The 20,426-nt window shown below is 35.6% G+C and overlaps 1 annotated feature.

Moving 5' to 3' along the window:
* Positions 1,554–2,753: an enhancer, noted in NCBI's record as "MED14-independent group 3 enhancer chr18:70100942-70102141 (GRCh37/hg19 assembly coordinates)". NCBI's record gives its function as "activates an origin of replication core promoter dependent on BRD2, BRD4, P300/CBP and CDK7 cofactors, and independent of MED14, by STARR-seq in HCT116 cells {active_cell/tissue: HCT116}" and the evidence as "EXISTENCE:reporter gene assay evidence [ECO:0000049][PMID:35650434]".

Below are 20,426 nucleotides of genomic sequence, written 5' to 3' on the forward strand. Positions count from 1 at the left end.
GGGAAATTTATTAAATAAATTAGAAAATTAACAGGACCGTTTCTAGATGTGACTGGCCTTGATCTGCAGATAAGAGAGTCACATGTGCCCAGAGCAAAAAATAAAAAATCAAACACACAAAAAATTTCTTGTCTATTTCAGTATGTTTTCATAACACCAAAAATAAAGAGAAAATCTTAAAGCCTTTTAAAACAACAACGATGACAACAGTAAGTAATAACAGCAATAACAAATAAATATACGACCAAGAAAGATGTGAGTCAAGGAAATATCAGACTTCTCACCGATGACATGGAATGCTGAAAGACAGTGAATAGATTCCCTTAATTTAGTGAAGACAAAAGTAATAAACTGTAATTGTATGCTCAGCCACACCATCAGGGAAATGTTAGTACAGAATAAAAAATATCAGGTGTACAAGAAAAATAAAAGTACTTGCACTGATTTTTAAGGAAGTTTATTAAGAATATATAAAGCAGAAACAAAATATCAATAAAAAGATGAAAATATTGAACAAACATCAAGAGCACAATGAAGAAAAGGGCAAGGATAATAGCTAGGTAGGAGGACTTGAGAAAAAAACACAATTGGAAAAGAAAATGTCAAGTATTGGAGAAAAAAAGACATTTGGAAGCTTTACAAATATCAGAAAGAAAAAAATGTGATAATAGTAGATTGCTTGTCTCTGCAGTAAATGAGATTCACAGTAAAACAGATTGCAATTTTTAAAATTTCAATCCTAAGAATTCACTTGCAGATAAAATTTAAATTTTATTAACTTTGACATTATAAAACTAAAAGTGTAAATGAGAGAGGTTGAGAGATCAAAGTCAGAGAGAAGAGTTGGAAGAAAGAGCAAGAACACCAACATTTTCTAAAATGGAGACTCAAGAGATCAAGAGAGTAGCTATGTTATGCAAAAAGGAACAAGGGTATGATATATTACTTGAAGTTATAATGAATAGAGAAACTAAAACCAGTGCAACTAGTATATGCTGCATCATTAGTTTTACATTATAAAGTTCTAATAGGCTAATCTTCAGTAATCCTTTCTTCTATCTTCATCAATCCTACCTAAGTCTATACAGGAAGCTTAAATATGAGAACACAATTAATTATAATGTAAAGATATTATTTAGAAATATTAAGTTAGCTTTTTTTTTTTTTTTTTGAGAGGGAGTCTCATTCTGTCACCAGGCTGGAATGCAATGGTGCCATCTCGGCTCACTGCAACCTCCACCTCCCTGGTTCAAGCGATTCCCTGCCTCAGCCTCGCGAGTAGCTGGGACTACAGGCACATGCCACCACACCCAGCTAATTTTTTGTATTTTTAGTAGAGATGGGGTTTCACCATGTTGGCCAGGATGGTCTCGATCTCTTGACCTCATGATCCGCCCACCTTGACCTCCCAAAGTGCTGGGATTACAGGCCTGAGCCACCGTGCCTGGCCAAAAATTTTTTTTAAATTAAAATTTTAAAATCTGTTTGCTTTTGGAAAGACCAGGAGTTTAGTAAGGAAGTAGTTCAAGTTGCTGTTTTTTAACATATGCATTTTTTAATAATATTTTATTCTAGATTCAGGGGGTACATGTGCATGTTTGTTGCATTTTTATTTCATACTAGTAGGGATTGGGCTTCTAGTATACCCATTACTAAAATAGTGAACATAGTACCCAAAGGTAATTTTTCAACCCTTGTCGCCCTCGTTGACAACCCTTGTTGTCGACCTTCTTACACTCCCCGTCAAGTTGCTTTCTATTAAGTCTTTTTGTCTTAAGTTTTCAGTATGTGCAAGGATCAATGGATCATGACGTCATTGCTTAGAATTTGTGTTAAAAACAAATTATTTGAAAAGATTTGAGATTTATTTATGAAAAGTTTAGTTTCACTGTAGTTACATGCAAGATATAATAATATTCTGGTTTTTGACATTTTCACATAACACAATCTATACCCTGATTATATGTAATGTTCATACAATATAGAAATATTATTAATTTTGAGAGAGTAATTTTTGCCTTTATCTTTTAATATCTTAAGACTGTCTCAAAATTATGAAAATGGTGAGAATTTGTGGAATAATTTGTATGTTCTAAATTGAATCCTGGATTAGGTATTGAAGGCTCACCTCCAATCCTCAGATGCATATAAATAACAAGTTGTGTACATCATAAAACAGTACAGTGCAATCATCGTGACTCAGCAAGGACTGTCTGTCAGGCGATGGCCAGCGTTAAAGAGCCGGGCATGGCGGCAGTGAGGAGATGGTGAAGGCTGCTCTTCCTCAATTACATAGGAGCATGGAATACGTACTCTTACCCACATCCCATCAGTAAGTGCACATTTTTAAACTCTTTCTTGGCACTGTAGTATCACAGCAATGTTAATCCCATCCAAAGGAGGCAGTTGCCATACAGACTTCAATAGAGAACTTTTACATTATAAAGTTATATATATATATATATATTTTAATGGGAGCTGGAATGTCACTGGCATTTATTTAGCAAGTCAAGGTGAATGTCTGTTTCAGTCATCTACGAAGACCCCGAAACAAGATGCACATACGCCAAGGCAGAATCAACTAGGTATAATAAGAATGTGGAATAAGAATGACTGGAGGGGCTGGGCGCAGTGGTTCACACCTGTACTCCCAGCATTTGGGGAGGCTGAGGTGGGCAGATCACCCGAGTTCAGGAGTTCAAGACCAGCCTGGACAACATGGCAAAACCCCATCTCTACTAAAAATACAAAAATTAGCCAAGCATGGGGTTGCGCACCTGTAATCCCAGCTACTGGGGAGGCTGAGGCAGGAGAATCACTTGAACCCAGGAGGCAGAGGTTTCAATGAGCCGAGACTGTGCCACAGCACTCCAGTCTGGGGCCACTGCACTCCAGGCTGGGTGGCAGTACAAGACCCCATCTCAGAAAAAAAAAAAAAAAAAAAGATTTGAGGATCACAAGATAAGATAAAGGGTGAGGCTGAAATATTTATGTAGCTTCTCTACCTAAGGGTTTTCACAATTTTTAGTGATAAAAATGGGAGATCAATAACAGATCTCAACAGAGCCTTTAGTTTTCTTAACATCTATTTATGATACACAGTATATGTGTCTCATTACAACATACAGATGCAATTGCAGTCACTCTCAATAGATAATTGTATTAAATTAATAAATTCCCAAGACAAAGACCTCTTTTTAAAGGAACCAGGCCTGACAGAACCATATCATACCTGGAAGGACATAAGCAAGATGAGGAAATTTTAGGGCCATCCTCACTAGAGTAACACCTATCATAAGTATCTTACCTATATCAGTACATTTGCCCTCTTCCTGTAACACCTGTGAGAACTTCTTGTGCATTAACACATCTACAGAGCCTGGCTTGTTCCCTGATACTCAAAAGGAGTCAGTAAATACATTTTAAACAAAATACAATTCTAAATATATATGATGAGAATATTAATCATCAGCTGAATTTACAGACTCAGTTAAGATAGTTAATTTTTGCATATATTTCAGTGGAAAACTTTTAAACTCTCAATCCCGACAAAGTTTACTTATGACTTTGTGGCATTTTCATTCTTGGAATTTTTAATAATTGAAGAGATCTTCTTTAAATATTAAGTTGCCTTTTTATGTTAAAATGACAAGATTACAATAAATATGTCTATGCTTCCAAATATCTAACTCTAAGCTGCTGTAAACAATGTGATTTAAGGATAGATGAATAGGACCCTACTTATTCTGGCTCATAAGAGCTTATTGCTAAATTTTCAAGAATTTTGCAAGAGCTGGTTGTTGAAATGTTGGTAGTTTGAAATTGGCTATGGGAAATCATTATAAAAGAGGGCCCCTCCTCATCCTCAGTTGTTAAACATTTAGAAGTATACCTCGGAATAAATCTTTGCTTAAGGAAAATACACAACTATATAAGAAATTAAATTTTGCAAGATCTATATCCATAATGTGTTCAACAAAAGATTAGTCCGAGGCAAAACTGTGAAGTATGCATTTGTATTTGCATCTCTTCCCTTCCATTATGCTAGCCTAATCAGAGGCAAAACACATTTTCGTAGATTTAGTATATCTTAATTTTTAAATGTCAATAATACCCATAAAATGCCCTAGATTATTTTATCTAAATTTTCTTTCAGCCTCCCATAAAACTCCCCAGCTAATAGCACCTCAAAATGGTATTAACTTTCATCTGTTTTTCCCTCTTCATTCTGTTGTCTTAGTGAAGTTTACGGTTCCCCACATGTGCCCCCAATTTTCCAAGATTCTCTGGAGCCTGATCTAGTATAAACTCATGCACTCATTTTTTCCCTTTTTGTTTGTTTACAGTAACATTTGCATGTTATTCTGCCACATGCTCAAATATCCAATTACCATAGGCTATACAATTATCTACATGGTAGTTCTCACAATGCATCAGCATCATGTGTAATGCAAGTACATGGCCTCATGCCAGACCCACTGATTTAGAAATGCTGGGAGTCGGACCCAGCAGTCTGTCCTGCAGCAGGTCTTCTAGGAGAGTCTGGTACATAAGAATGGCAAGCTCCATTTCTTTACACTGTATGCTTTGTAAAGACAGAGATTGTGTTTGTTTATTAATCACTTTATACCCACGCCCCTGCAGACTGTCTGGAATAAGGAAATAGGACTCAAATGAACAAAAAAATAGATGAATGCATTAATTAATCCTTTAAAAGACTAAATTCTAAAAGGTTTTGCACCCCCAAAAAGCTGTAAACTACTATTATGTTACTGAAATAACTCTCCCCCGGAGGGTTGAGCTTCAGCATGACATGGATAGATTATTATTTTAAGTCCTCGTTTGTTCTAAAAAGACATTGGGAGCACCAGTTAATGCTTAGGAAAGTGTTCCAGGATACTTGCATGAAAGTGCCCAGAGTAGAGGAAAGCACAGTGATATTATTTTCATACTAATCCTGCTAGAAAAAAGGATATTTAAGCTTTTATGATTGGTCTTCTCTTCAGAGCCCTGCAGCAGATTTTTTTTTTAAAGAAAGAAAAACAGTAAAAAGAATTGAAATTAGGATCCAGACTGTAATACTGTGAGGGAAAAAAATCAAAAGCCTTATATGAAAGAAGAAATATCTAACAGTAGCTTTAATCTTGGAAGTCTCCAAAACAGCTTCCACATGGAGAGCCAGCGTGCCACAGGTGCTCTCCACATGAGCAGGTGAGCAAAATAAAGAGGCTGTCAGGCTGTGATGAATTCCTGTCCATGATGCATTCATCCCAAGGTGCCCTTCTGCATCTGGTATATATCTCAGTGCATGTAAGTTTTCAGCTGGTAGTTTTCAAGAACGTAAAAGATCTCAGAACCAAAAGAGGCTGTAAGATAGTCTACAAGCCTAATGAGGTTGCTTAAGCAGTGGTAAGAAAGGAAGTATTCAGGAAGAATTGTTGTTTACCAAAGAAATAGATACATGTATTCTGATTTCATTATCCATAAAGATGTTATAGTAGGTCATTAGAATTGTTTGGGCTACAATTATTTTAAAAACCTAAAAGCCAATGGTAAATGGAGAGCTTAATAAATTCATAAAATGTATTATTTTTAAAATTAAAATAATATAGTTTGTATTAACTTGATATCTCATAAAACTGTGTATAACATGGCATGAGGTAGGTAGTTATATTTCTAAGACGCAAATGCAAAACTAAATGTATATTTCTTCCTTCTCTGCATTTTGAAGGCTAGCTGAAATGTAAATATCTCACAGGCACCTTTGTTAAGTTTTTAAATGATTTCTATGTTTACATGTATATCAAAACAGAAATGACTATGGCTATAACAATGAATTGAAAAATAAAAAATATTTTTCAAAATTTAAAAATGTTAATATGATCTAATAACAAGGAAATGTTTATTTAGTTGCTCTTGCAAAAAGTCTATCTTTGATACCAAGAAGCAATGCTCCTGAATGCTGGAAAATTGCACACATCATGTTTAGAAAAATCTTGGAAAATTCAACAGTTTTAGAAAGGAGTGTTCTGGATTTTAAAATATGTCACAATAGAAATATTTACCAAACTGTATCAGTTTTCTATCACTGCCGTAACAAATTGCTGCAAACGTAGTGGCTTAAAAGAAGACAAATTTGAAGCCTTGCAGTCTCGGGTTCGGAATCTAAAATGAGTCCTACTGGGCTAAAATCTAGCATCTGCAGGGCTGTGTTCCTTTATGCAAGCTCCTCCAGAGGAGTTTATTTTCCTTCTCCTTTCCAGTTTCTAACTGAGCACATTCCTTGGCTCATGGCAACCTCCATCTTCAAGCTAGCAATTCTTCTTTTAAATTTATTATTATTTTTATTTGCATAAATTTATGGGGTACAACTGCAATTTTGTTACATGCATATATTGCATGGAGCCTTTTAGAGTACCTATCAGCCAAATAACATACATTGTACCCGTCAAGTAATTTCTCCTCATCTAACCCTTTTTCACTCCCAGTTTCCTAGTGTGCTTTGTCTATCATTCCACACTCTATGTCCATGTGTACACATCATTTAGCTCCCACTTGTAAGAACATGCAATATTTGTCTGTGGCTTGTTTCACTTAAAACAATGACCTCCAATTCCATTCATATTGCTGCAAAAGACATGATTTCATTCTTTTTAATAGCTGAATAGTACTCCATTGTGAGTGTATACCACATTTTTTTAATCCAGTCATCTGTTTATGGACACTTAAGTTGATTCCCTATCTTTGCTATTGTGAATAGTGCTGTGATAAACACATGGGTGTAGGTATCTTTTTGATATTATGATTGTTTTTATTTCCTTATGAGTAGATACCCAGTAGTGAGATTTCCAGATCAAATGGTAGTTCTGTTTTTTTTCTTTCAGAAATCTCCGTACTGTTTTCCATAGAGGTTATACTAATTTACATTCCCATCAACAGCATGTTAGAGCTTCCTTTTCTCTACATCCTAGTGAACATCTGTCATTCTTTGTGTTTTTAATCATAGCCATTCTGACAAGTGTTAAATTATATCTCATTGTGGTTTTAATATGCATTTCTGTGATTATTAGTGATGTTTAGCATTTTTATATGCCTGGTGGCCATTTGTATGTCTTCTTTTGAAAAATGCCTACGTGTGTCTTTTGCCCTCTTTTTAATGGAATCATTTGTTTCGTTGCTGTTGAGTTGTTTGAGTTTCTGACCTTTTTTCTGATGCCACACTTCTCTCTGACTCTCTACTCTCCTGCCACCATCTTTCAAATTTAGGGACTCTTGCAATTCCATTGGACACACCTAGATAATCCAGAATAATCTCCTTATTTTAAGGTCAGCTGATTACTAACCTTAATTCCATCTGCTACCTGAATTCCTCCTTGCTATGTAGCATAGCATATTACCAAGTTCTAGGGATTAGCAGGAGGACATCTTTGAGGGGCTATTATTTGGTCTACCAACCATCCAGGAATTTCTTACTCTAAAATAGGTAATCTGTGAAAGTATTTTGTGCACTTCCAGGACATGCTTAGCAGGATCATTGTATCTGTGGCAAACTTTAATACAGTTCTCTAGGTCTTGATGGTGTGAACTTTGTGCTTAGGGCCAAAGACATCACAACATAAATGACACATTTCAGTTTTTCTTGTTTAATAGAGATCATGAGTTAAAACGTTATCCTCACCTTTTTAAAAAATCCTTTAACATTTTTTAGCACAGTATGAAAACAATTAAACCTAATGATCACAATGTCTAGTATCATAAAAATATGATATCATCGTTAATATTCCTGTAACCATTTATGAGGAGAGTACTGAAATTTAATTCTATGGTTAAAAAACGAACTATTTTAGCTTTACAATAATGATAACTGTAACTACAACTTTTAAAAAAAATCGAGATAGTATTGAACATCTTAATTTAGCATGATGGCCTTCTAAATTATCTACCTACATTTAGTCTTTCTACTCAAACAGTGTTCTTCATTCAACAACCATCCATTGAGTGCCCACCATTCTTGAGGCACTAATTTAAAGCAGTCAGCAGTCCCTGAGTTTCTATAGGATGAGGGCATGCTCCCTGATACGGTATGATGTATAGCACTCTTCATAATGTGTCCTAACTTACCTCTGCAGCCATATTCCTCCTCTGTACACAATATTCACTTCCTTCTCATATCCATTATAATCTGCCTTACCATTCTGTTCTGTGCACCTACGTCAATTTCATTTATGAAGAAACATTAGTGTCAAATCTCACAGTCCCCAAAAGTCATCTCTTCTCAATAAAGGTTGAAGTAATATTTTTTAATTCTGTGAAATAAAGCCTGTAAAATAGTGACATTAAATACTCATCAGTCTTGTGAACTTCTGTATGGCTGTTATGCTCTGTTATTTTTACTATTTTTTGTATGGAGATTTTAATGCTATTACGTATTAACTATTTGATTTTATATTTCTTATAGACAGGAGTCATGTCTTCTCCATTTCTGTCTCCACCATGTCTCTCAATATAGTGGTTTCTAATGAATTTTCTCCTATAATTTGGTGAGTAACATAGAGCCATGGGAGGTATCATTTATCATTTGCTTCAGAAAAGCTTCATCCAAATCAAATAATTGGTATTATAACTTCATTGGAAAATTCATTTTCACAAAATTGGACAGCTTTTACCATTTTTTATCCCGACAACTTTGTTAATGGTTTTTCTGAACAGATATAATGATGTCAATATTTTTAAGAAACTATTATCCATGGAAGGGAAAATGCCATAATAAATAAGACCTTAAGATGGCACCAAGATAATGAAATAAAGCATTACCAAATGGAACCATTGCTTGCATAATATATGTCATATTATTAAGTCTTAAAACAGAAATATAGAAAAACCTAGGAAACTAAAGGAGTTTACATAAAATCTGGAAAGATCTAACTAGAAATGATTAGTTTTATAACAAATATTTAAGGTTTATAATCAGACGGGTTACTTGAAAAAACTTCCCAAAGGAGGCTAAAATACAACTCATTGCATTACAGTTCCTTGAGCTTCACTTTGTAGATGTTGTAAACATAAAAATTAAAAGTTTATGTAGTGTTTTTTCTTCCAAGAATACTTGATCAATGCCACATTAATTTTGAGGACACCAAATGTCAGTGTTAACTACTTTCTTTCTTAAAGTGTGTATATGTTGTATGTTAAATAAGTGTGCAAATTAACATAAACTTTATCTTCATGATCTCAATCTAAAAATAATTTTAATTAACACCAATAAAGTAAAATTATTTTCTACAAATTATCTATCATGCAGCTATTTTGTCTTCAGCATGGTTAGTGGTTACATTTGGGCAGAATTATGATAATACTGTGAATAACAATGTCATCCTATAGTGTGCCTTACACACACCCTTATTTTATCACAATGAGAGAAATCTAGATTCTCACACCTAAATGGAGGAAAATATAAAGAAGAGCATAATTTTAAGCTCCAGTGAAATTTAATTTTTTCTTTTCAGTAAAAATAATGAAGCAATTTTATTCCTTTATGTTCTATGATACCTATGTACAGTTACAAATGAACTGGCTTACAGTAAAATGAAAATTAAAATATGTAAGTGCAAAATATGAAATCAGAAATACTTCATTTTTACCAAGTGTAGCTGGCCCCATATTCTGATAATTGTGATCCCAGTACTTCTTGCTCAGTTTCTAGGGACTCATGCTGTTTGCTAAAATAAGTACCCATGTCTTTCTTCAATACTACAATCTCCAGAATAACCCTAGATTGATAGAAAACCTGTAGAAAATAATCAAATTATTCTCTTTGCTACTAGTGCTTATTCTTTAATTAAAGGTAAACAAATTGTCAATACATTTTTCTATAGTGCATAATTTCTAGCCAGCAAGTATTAGGTCTAAAGGTAGAAACACACAAAATAAAGAAACCTACTACTGTCTCATAAACTTTTTTCCCCCTAGACACACACACATTTAATAATTTTTTGAGAGTTTATATTCATCTCTTTCTTCATGTTCTGATACACGCACAGGTTACAGAAGGATGAAATCATCAGATGTCAATGATGATACAAAATCCAAGCTTATCAGTTTTTCTTCTATCTGATCTTACATCTTACTAGAAGGTCATTGTGCCAAATTACATTTTATTTTGAGTTACTGGGAGTATTTTACTATGAAATTAATTTTAAAGCACATTTTCCAAGTAGCCTCAGTGTGGGGAATTTTGAGCAGCCCTGTATCAAGTAAATTAAGCAACAACTTGCATATAGAACCCAATTATACATGTTCACCCATAAATATGAATAATAATCTCCTTTGAATTAATTGACAAATAAACTGCCTGACCATCATTCCATGTTACTATTGGAAGAGTAAAATCATTTCAAAAACAGAAAACTTTTGAAATTTGTATATTTAGATGATGAATAATTTGAGGTAACTGTTCTACTATTTTTTCATCTGTAAAATCATTTGACTTAAGCATGAATAATGCATCAGCTACAGACTGGCCAAGTCATGTATTGTGAGGTCAAAAATCACGCTACTGAATTTACTGTTCTGTGATCTGAATAAACAAACAACCAATAAAGTGTAAGTGATACCTGAATCAATTTGCGGTCCTGGCCTTTAAGACCTGCCATAATGTATCAGGATCATTGTCATCTTTGCCCAGCATTTTACTTTCCAAATTACCACTTAAAGTGTATTGTGGAAGCAGGTGCCTGTTTGTAAATTCACTTTACAATTTTTGAAATGTGGTAAACCCAAATTATTAACAAATTTTTTCAAGCAAGAAAGCCTATATCAGATCTAATAAAAGTACATTTATGAGAGAAGGAAAATACAAAATATATTTTTTAAATGTTTGACTTTCTTGCTTTCATTTATTTAGCTAAACAATTTTGATGAGTATAATATTACAATATATGGAGCACTTACTACATGCCAGGCCCTAGTGCTCTTATAGCTTTAATCTTCACCACATCCTTGCAAAAGAGGAAATATTATTACTCTCTTGCAAAACAAAGCGTCAAAGCTTAAAGAGCTTAAATTAATTAAAGCCAGTCATTGGCAGAACTCAGACTGGAGTCCAAACTGTCTAATTACCAAGGTGGTCATATTGGTTTGCTAGGGTTAGTTAGGGCTTCCATAAGAAAATACCATAAACTATGCAGCCGTAAAAAAGGATGAGCTCATGTTCTTTGCAGGGACATGGATGAAGCTGGAGGGCATCTTTCTCAGCAAACTAACACAGGAACAGAAAACCAAACACCCATTCTCACTCATGATGGGGAGTTGAACAATGAGAACACATGGACACAGGGTGAGGAACATCACACACTGGGGCCTGTTGGAGGGTGGGGAGCAAGTAGAGGGAGAGCATCAGGACAAATACCTAATTCATGCAGGGCTTAAAACCTAGATGATGGGTTGAGGTGCAGCAAACCACCATGGCAAATGCACACCTATGTAACAGACCTGTACATTCTGCACATGTATCCTGGAACTTAAAGTAAAATAAAAAATAAAAATAAATAAAATAAATAAAAATAAAATGTTCAACCAGGTTTAAAAAAAAAAGAGAAAACACCATAGATTGGGATGGCTTACAACAAAAATTTATTTTCTCACAGTTCTGGAAGCTGAAAGTCCAAGATCAAGGTGCCTGTAGGATTGGTTTCTCCTGTGGCCTCTCTCCTTGGCTTGCCGATGATCACCTTCTTGCAGTGTTCTCCTGGGGTCTTTCCTGTATGTGCATGCACAGAAAGATTTCTGATGTGTCTTCTTCTTCTTACAAAGACATCAGTCATGTTAGATGAGAACCTCACTATTATGACCTGGTTTAACTTTAATCACCTCCCTAAAGGTTCTGTTTCTAAATACAGTCACATTGAGAAATAGGTGTCAAAAAAATGAGTTTTGGGGGATGCAATTCCATCCAAAACAGGGGTGTTCTTTTCACTCTGCTGAAGCACTAAGTCATGGACCGAGTGCTTACTTGTTCCTCACACCACGTGTGCACCAAGAGTTTCAGATATAAAGTGTACTAAGCATCGCCTCTGTCATCCCCTTGATCAGCATCTGAGAGCAACACAACAGAAAGCACACTGACAAAGACACAGACAAAATGCCGCATGCACTGACCTTCTGCAGATTCGTACAATGGTTGAATTGTGGTGTTGAGGTTGTAACAATGTCCTGAAACAGGCTTCCAACATTTGAGATGTTTAGCTGGACTTGGAAAACTTTTATTTATGGTTAAGACTATATTTGCTTATCCAGCTTATTGGTTGAATTTGATGGATTAGTATGACATCTTTCAGTTGCTTCTAAAGTTGGTCCTGTCACTGCTGGTATGTTAAAGGAGTGCTGCCTTGACGGAGATAATAGAGATATTGTATCTGTGACAATTGATGGCCGGTAAGCTATTTCCATTGTCCTTTAAATTAATCTGTTGAATTTTCCATGCCACACTACACATTCTAAAAGCCCCTGCTGGTTTTCATTAGTTAAATCCATGAGGCTGACCAAGACAGTCATAATGTTCCCCACAAATTGACTAAACTTTAGACAGGTCTCTTTCTCATATTGGCCCCTGGCCTCCCTTTACTTAGAGTGTTTGCTTTAGAAAAGTAATTACAATTTGTAGTTGCAAATTCTTTCTCTGCTCTTTTGAAATGCATATATATCTTCTTAAAAGACTACTACCGGTTTTATGCCCCAGGAAATGTGTTTCTGAAGGGCCTGGGAAGCATCTCTTTGACATGTAAATGTGAAGGAAAATAGCACCCCTGGCTCTGGGTCTCTACAAGAGTACATAGGAACCTAACTTCAGTGGGAGCCTCCATCCAAGTTGTAAAACTAACTGTTTTCATGAAGTCCTGAGGACTTAGACTTTTACTTCGAGTAAGGCGCATTAGAAAACACAGGGCCTAAGATTGCCACCACCCAAGCTCTTGAAAACGCTCCAGCCTTTTGATTCAGATGAGTTGAGTTTAATCCCTCTTATCTATTGTGATAGTCTTGAATAAAGCCTTCCTTATCTGTTTAGCCCTGTCTGGTGATATATTCACTTTTAGAAGGCTAACAGGCTGATCATGGTCTTAGATATGAACAGTTGACTTTCCCCTCTAATCAACAACCAAAGAGTTTAGGTGCCAAGAGGGACAGCTTTGCAATACAGTCTTGGAGAGTAGAAGGATTTCTATCCCAGCCTGAGGTAAAAACATCATTTCTGCTACTTTCCATCATGTCTAAAACATAATAAATGCTCAGTTAAATTAGTATTTTAACAGACTGTTGACTGTCATACTTTCTTTCTTATAAACCACCATTTTGATGAACAGTCATTGTTCTTCTTAACTCGTGTTAATAAAAAAATAGCAATTGAGGAATCCTGTCATGGAGGACAGTGGGAGTCTGTGAAAAGCATTCTATCAATTTAATTTAGGGCAAATTTGGAAAAGCAGTGTTATAAAGTACCAGAGAATGTTTGGAAAAATACTGGTAGATAATTTAGGAGAATACGCCATCCCCATTAAAACCCCTATTACCAGTTTTATGCCCCAGGAGATGTTTTTCTGAAAGGCCTAAAAACCATCTCTTTGAAATATAAACATGAAGGAAAATAGCACCTCTGGCTCTGTGTCTTTATAGGAGTAGATAGAAGCCTAAATTAGCAAATTCTTAAAAGTTGGTTGTACAACATCATTAAAATAATATAGTTGGAAAACTAGTGAATTAAACTATTTATTGTTTCTACCAAGAGTTTTGAGTCTTATTATCTGGTTATTATGAAATACCCTTGTATGTTATTTTAATACCCAGAGCATTTCATAATATATATGAATTTTTTTATACCAAGAGTTTCATATCTATAATTTTACCCTCACAAGAACCCTGTGATGTTATCCTTTTTATTTCAGTTTGCACATCATCAAGCTGGAGTGTGTAGATCATGCACTAATTATAAGACAGAGCTGGGATTCAAGCAAATGCTGGTTCCTTTGGCTCTGATGTGTATATATCAGTGGCACAGCATCATGCTGCCTTCCTCTTCCTCTCGCCTTTCACCATGAAGAATTTTCAAATGAATTTTTTCTATCATTGGCTCTAACAGCAATTCTGTGAGACAGATACATTTCTCTGCATTTTATACATATAAATTAAGAATCAGAGAAGTTGGGCAATTTTCCAAAAGTGACAAATGTAAAAACTGAAAGTGTATTCATCAGACTTAAATCCAGGTTTGACACACAACTTTAAAAGTTTAGCAAATTCGTGTAGGATAGCAAGGAAACCTGAGTCATTGGCAGACTAATCTGGAAATGATGTGCCTGGTGATCTCTTTCAAAAAAGGAACTTACATAGAAGAAATATAACAGGGATGTATTATTTCTCTGTGCTATGATTTACTTACTGTAGTTTATGTTAAATAATTACCTACCAAGAAAACAAGAGAAAATGTAATCATTTAAAGGCATGATTTCTATAGTTTGTTTTATTTTAATGATAATTTCACCCCCAAAATTAATTAATCTGTATTGCTCAGAGAAGGATTTTTCTTAGTCAATTGAAATGTTATAAGTCAAAGAAGACCAAGTGTTTTAAAAAACAAATAATACATTTCTTCACATAGTTAAAAATAATTATAAATGTTGCAATACTCCATGAAAAACTTTAATATGTATTTTAAGAAAAAATGTATAAACAGTGATATACTTAAATACACGAGGTTTACCTGGTGGTCAGCATCTTGGTTGTGACACAACTGTTGAAAATAAAATACATCCACCTCTTTCTCTACAGACAAAGTCAAATCTATATCAAATAAAAATATGACTAGAAATTTAAATATTAGTTTTTTTAACTTACTAAGGATACAAAAGCATACATGAGAATCATGCAATTATAGTACATTAATTCTATAAACACTAAACTGTGTAATTGGAAGCATACATTTAATATGAGCTATATTCATGTCCCAGACCTACTTTGACTCTGGGCACCAAATGACATAGCAAAACATAACTTAACACATTTAACTCAAGAATAAGAAGCAGAATCAAGAGATGCCTAAAACCCCAACGGGATCAATTCCTTCTTTTCATCAGCAGTCAAAAAGTTTTTTTTTTTTAACTGTCATTTTGGTCCTAAGTCCCATCCAACTATGAAGCCATTTCTAATGGTTTTCCTAACCTCAGATGCTGATGGTGAGATCTCCGTAAAGTCTTGCTTATACTATCTCCACTTCCTTACCTCACATTCCTTATTTTAATCAGTATCCTTAGAATTTTGTTCCTATTATTCCACTAAAACAGTGTGTCTAGTCAAATATTATAGTCAAGTCTCTGTCTATATGGTATTAAACACTCAATCATTGTGTATGATTGACTATACCTCCTTCTTAAAATCTTTTGTTTGCCTCTGCAGACACTATCTTATTCTGGTCTTCCTCCTATCACCCTTGCCTCTCCTTCTCAGTCTCCTTTGCCAGCTTGTCCTCCTGACCTCTAAATAATAAGGTTCAGGAGGATTATATATATATATGAATTCTATATATATGAATTCTATATATATGAATTCTATATATATGAATTCTATATATATGAATTCTATATATATTCATCTATATTTATTCATTTAGTCATCCATAGAAAACATTTCTCTATATTTATTCTCTAGGTAATAGAATATTCATCTACAGAAGATATTCATCTATATTTCTTCTCTAGGCAATCTGAGTAAGTTCCAGTTTTACATGCTATCCATACACTGATGATGGTCTGTTGCCCAGGTTGGAGTGCAGTCATGCAAATACGACTCACTACAGCTTCAAACTGCTGGGCTCAAGTCATTGATCCTCCCACTTCAGCTTCCCAAGTATCTGGGACTTGTACAGGCACATGCCCACATTCGGCTAATTTTTTTTTTTTTTTTTGAGACAGGGTCTCAGCATGTCAACCACACTGGGATACTAAACTTGTCGCAGTTCTTGGTTTCTTTCATAAGTCCTAGGCTTCCATATCTCACCATCTACTCAATATCTCCACAGGTATTTTTCAAAGGCAGTTCATATTTAGTATGTCTAAGGCACATTGCTAAATCCCCTTACCCCATTGTGGATTGGCTTGCTCTATATCCAGTATGATGTAGTTTAGCAGTGTCCCCACCCAAATCTCATCTTGAAATGTAATCCCCATCATCCCCATGTGTCGAGTGAGGGACTGGTGGGAGGTGATTGGATCATGGGAGCAGTTTCCCCCATGCTGTTCTCATGGTATTGAGTGAGTTCTCACAAGATCTGATGGTTTTGTAAGTGTTTAACAGCTCCTCCTTCACATCTGCTTCCACTTCCGCCATGATTGTTAAGCTTCCTGAGGCCTTCCCAGCCATGCAGAACTGTGAGTCCATTGTTTTATAAATTACCCAGTCTTGGGCAATTCTTTATAGTAGTGTGAGAACAGACTAATACACAATATGATCTTTTTCTAGTATACCCTTCTGAGCTATGAAGGCTGAGAAACCACAGTCTAGCTTGCCAATTCTTCCTCACAGTCAGGTTTTCTTAAATAATGTAAGATCTGCCAATCAAATACATATGCTAGGCTTATATTGGGGAGGGAGTCATTTGAAACATAGATGGGAATGCTCTAGTCATAATCAAAAGAATGCTTTTGCAGTAAGCAGGTCAGTAGCTTCCTCAGTCATAACAGGGGACATGTGATTCTAAGGATGGGACACTTTCCTGGGAAGCTCAACATAAAGCTAACTCTCAAGTCCTTCCAAAGACTTTGTCAGCTACCTTATACAGTTATGAAATTACTAACTTCATAAACTAGCCAGAATAATTTCTGTTGTCTGTAACTAAATTGCAACCCTCACAGACCTGAAGCATCCTCCTCCAACAGGCTTCTGCTTGGCATCATCATCATCCTCCCATGTCAAAGAACAAAGCTCTGGGCATCATACCAGTGTCTCTCTCAAGCCCATGCCAACCCATCGGTTCTATGTCTAAACACCCTCAATGTCCACACCAGTCCCACTGTCACTTCTTGCCACTTAACCAATCTCCCTCTTTCCTTTCTGCCACTTTAAAGTACGTAGGTTACCCAGAGTGATCTTCGAAAGACATAAGTCATTTTACATCACTTCCCTGGCCATATGCTCCTGTGAATTCACATCACACTCTCAACAAAATCTAACCTCCTTAACCTAGCTCACAATGTTCCAGAAAACACAGCCCCCATCTACTTCTCTGACCTCATCTCTGACCCTCTGCCCTATATTGTGTCTCTCACATACACCAAGCTTCGCCCGTCTCAGGGACTTCACAGTTGCTGCTCCCTCTGCCTGAAACATCTCTCAATCGATTTAAGGTGATTTGCAATTTCACATTACTTTGGTCTCTGCTCAGAAAAGCTTTCATAACCTTCTTTCTTAAATAGCAGCTCCTGTCTCTGTCCTTTCACCATCTACCACCTTATTCTGCCATATTTTTCTTCATCTGTCACTAAGGAAAGCACACAGATGCACATTTGCTTATTTTTTTTTATTTCCAGTCACTTCCATCAGGGAAGTCAACAGCACCACAGCAAGGACATGGCCTCTCTTATTTGGCCCCTGGCCTCTAGCACATAGAACAATGCCCTGCTTTTAGGAAGATTTCGGTGACTATTGCATGAATAAATTATTGAGAAAATAAATGAAAGAATGATTATTGTAGTGGTCCAAATAACATCACCTATAACTAATTCCCAAAGTAAGAGCCAGCATCAACCTTTCCCCTAGTCATTAAATAGCCTTGAAAACTTATGATGAATATTATAAAAGCTATCTTAGTTTCTGCTTTTCACAATATAAACAGAAATTATATTTTTTGAGATGATTCATATATTGTTCCAATATTTTATGTGTGTGTGTGTGTGTGTGTCAAAGAAAATGGAATAAGAATCAAAACATGTAACACTTAGACACCAGGCATTTAAAAGAACTTTTAAAACCCACATCAATAAAGAAGGATCTAGGGAACGGAGAGAAGGAGGGACGTATGGCAGACTCTGGAAGCAAGATTAAATACATTTCATGTGCCTCCCACACTGAGGTTACAACTAATGAATGGCAGAATGACCTCCAAAAGCTGAAAGTTAAAAATGGATTTCCAAGACATGAACATCTTCTGAATATACAGTAGTTGGAAAATGTTCTATGTATCACTAGTCATAAAATAAAATATAAATTGTTTCTTTGCATACATATTAGCTGCTCTCAGTAGTGCTACCATCCTCTTCAAAGGATTTGCAGTAGCAACTTTTATAAATGATTTTTAAAAGAAATGTTCCTTGCGTAATTCCCACATGCAGCAGCATAGGTTGTATTAAATCCTCCTCATCTTCCCTTTCTTCTACTCTCTTTCATCTGATTTCCACTTTTGTCTGTGATCTTTCCTTTATCTTTCTTTCTGATCCAACTTTGAGGTGATTCAGTGGCTAGAATGATAAATTATAGGAACTATAGTCAGTGAACTAGAAGCAGAGATAAGATTGAAGAACACCATCTTGCCAATTTCAATAATAATAATATTTTATATATATCACCATTTATAATTTTCAATACACTTTCAACATCAATCAGCTATTTTCCAGTCTGATTACCACCATTCGATAGAGTAATATAGGTAGACATTATTAATTCTATACTATAGAATCAAAAACTTCGTTATTAAAAGATACAATCATTGTTGTTCTAGGAAATGAGTGTTTTAGAATAAGCTAGCCTGTCCATCATTTCCTTGCTCACACATGGATTTATATATTTTTTTCAGCTTTAAAAATTATTTTAAGTTCCTGGATACATGTTGTACTTGTCTGTTTTCACGCTGCTAATAAAGATATACTCAAGACTGGGCAATTTACAAAAGAAAGAAGTTTAATTAAACTTACAGTTCTACATGGCTGGGGAGGCCTCACAGTCGTGGCAGAAGGCAAGGAAGAGCAAGTCACATCTTACCTGGATGGTGAAAGGCAAAGAGAGCTTGTGCAGAGAAACTCCCGTTTTTAAAACCATCAGACCTCATGAGACCCATTCACTATCAGGAGAACAGCACGGGAAAGACCCCCCCCCAATAATTTAATAATCTCCCACCGAGTCCCTCCCATAACATGTGGAAATTATGGGAGCTACAAGATGAGATTTTGGTGGGGACACAGAGCCAAAGCGTATCACATGTGCAGGACATGTAGATCAGCTACATAGGCAAATTGTGCCATGGAGGTTTGCTGCACCTATCAACCCATCACCTAAGTATTAAGTCCCACATGCATCAGCTATTTATCCTGATGCTCTTCCTACTGGCACCCCACCAGCAGGCCCCAGTGCGTGTTGTTCCTTACCCTGTGTCCATGTCTTCTCATTGTTCAGCTCCTACTTTTAAGTGAGAACACATAGTGTTTGATTTTCTGTTCCAGTGATAGTTTGCTAAAGATAATGGCTTCCAGCTCCATCCATGTCCCTGCAAAGGACATGATCTTCTTCCTTTTTATGGCTGCATAGTATTTCATGGTTTATATGTACCACATTTTCTTAAATATCAAATTTAAGTTAAGAATTTTAATCTGTGTTTTTCCCTATGTGGGTCAGAAAATAAAACAGCATAGTTATTTATTTCAGAATAAGCCACTGCTTTTTCAAAATGCATTGAATCTTTTAAGAAATACACAGATCTCGTGGTTTGGTTTTGCATCTCCCTGATGACGAATGAGTCATGTTCTTGTTGGCCATTTATGTCTTCCTGGGAAAAACGTCTATTGAGGTTCATTGCTGTCTTTGAATTGTGTTGTTTATTTTTACTATGGAGTTGTATGAGTTTCTTATATATTTTGTATATTAATCCCTTATCAAACGTATGGTTTGCAAATATTTTCTCCAATTTCAATATTTACTTCATTTTGCTGATTATTTCCTTTACCGTGCAGAAGTTTTTATTTTGATGTAGTCTCACTTCTTTATTTTTGCTTTTGTTGCCTGTGCTTTTCATGTCATATCTAAAATATCATTGCCAAGATCAATGTCAAGGAGCTTTTCTACCATGTTTTTTTCTAAGTTTCAGGTCTTACATTTAAGTCTTTAATCCACTTTGAGTTACTTTTTCTGTTAGGAAGGCTATTTTTTTTTTTTAATAAGCGTAGTGAGGATGTAGAGAAAGGGGAATGCTTACGCACTGTTGGAAGGACAATAAATTGGTACAGTCATTATAGGAGAGCATAAGGTTTCTTAAAAAATGGAAACAAAACTACCTGTGGGTGTGAGTGACACATGTCCTATGTGTGAGTGTGAGTGAGGACACTTGTCCTGTGTGTGGGTGTGAGTGACACGTGTCCTGTTGTGGGTGTGAGTGACACATGTGACTTATATGA

Source organism: Homo sapiens, chromosome 18 (genome assembly GCF_000001405.40).
Source record: "Homo sapiens chromosome 18, GRCh38.p14 Primary Assembly".
Taxonomy (NCBI): domain Eukaryota; kingdom Metazoa; phylum Chordata; class Mammalia; order Primates; family Hominidae; genus Homo; species Homo sapiens.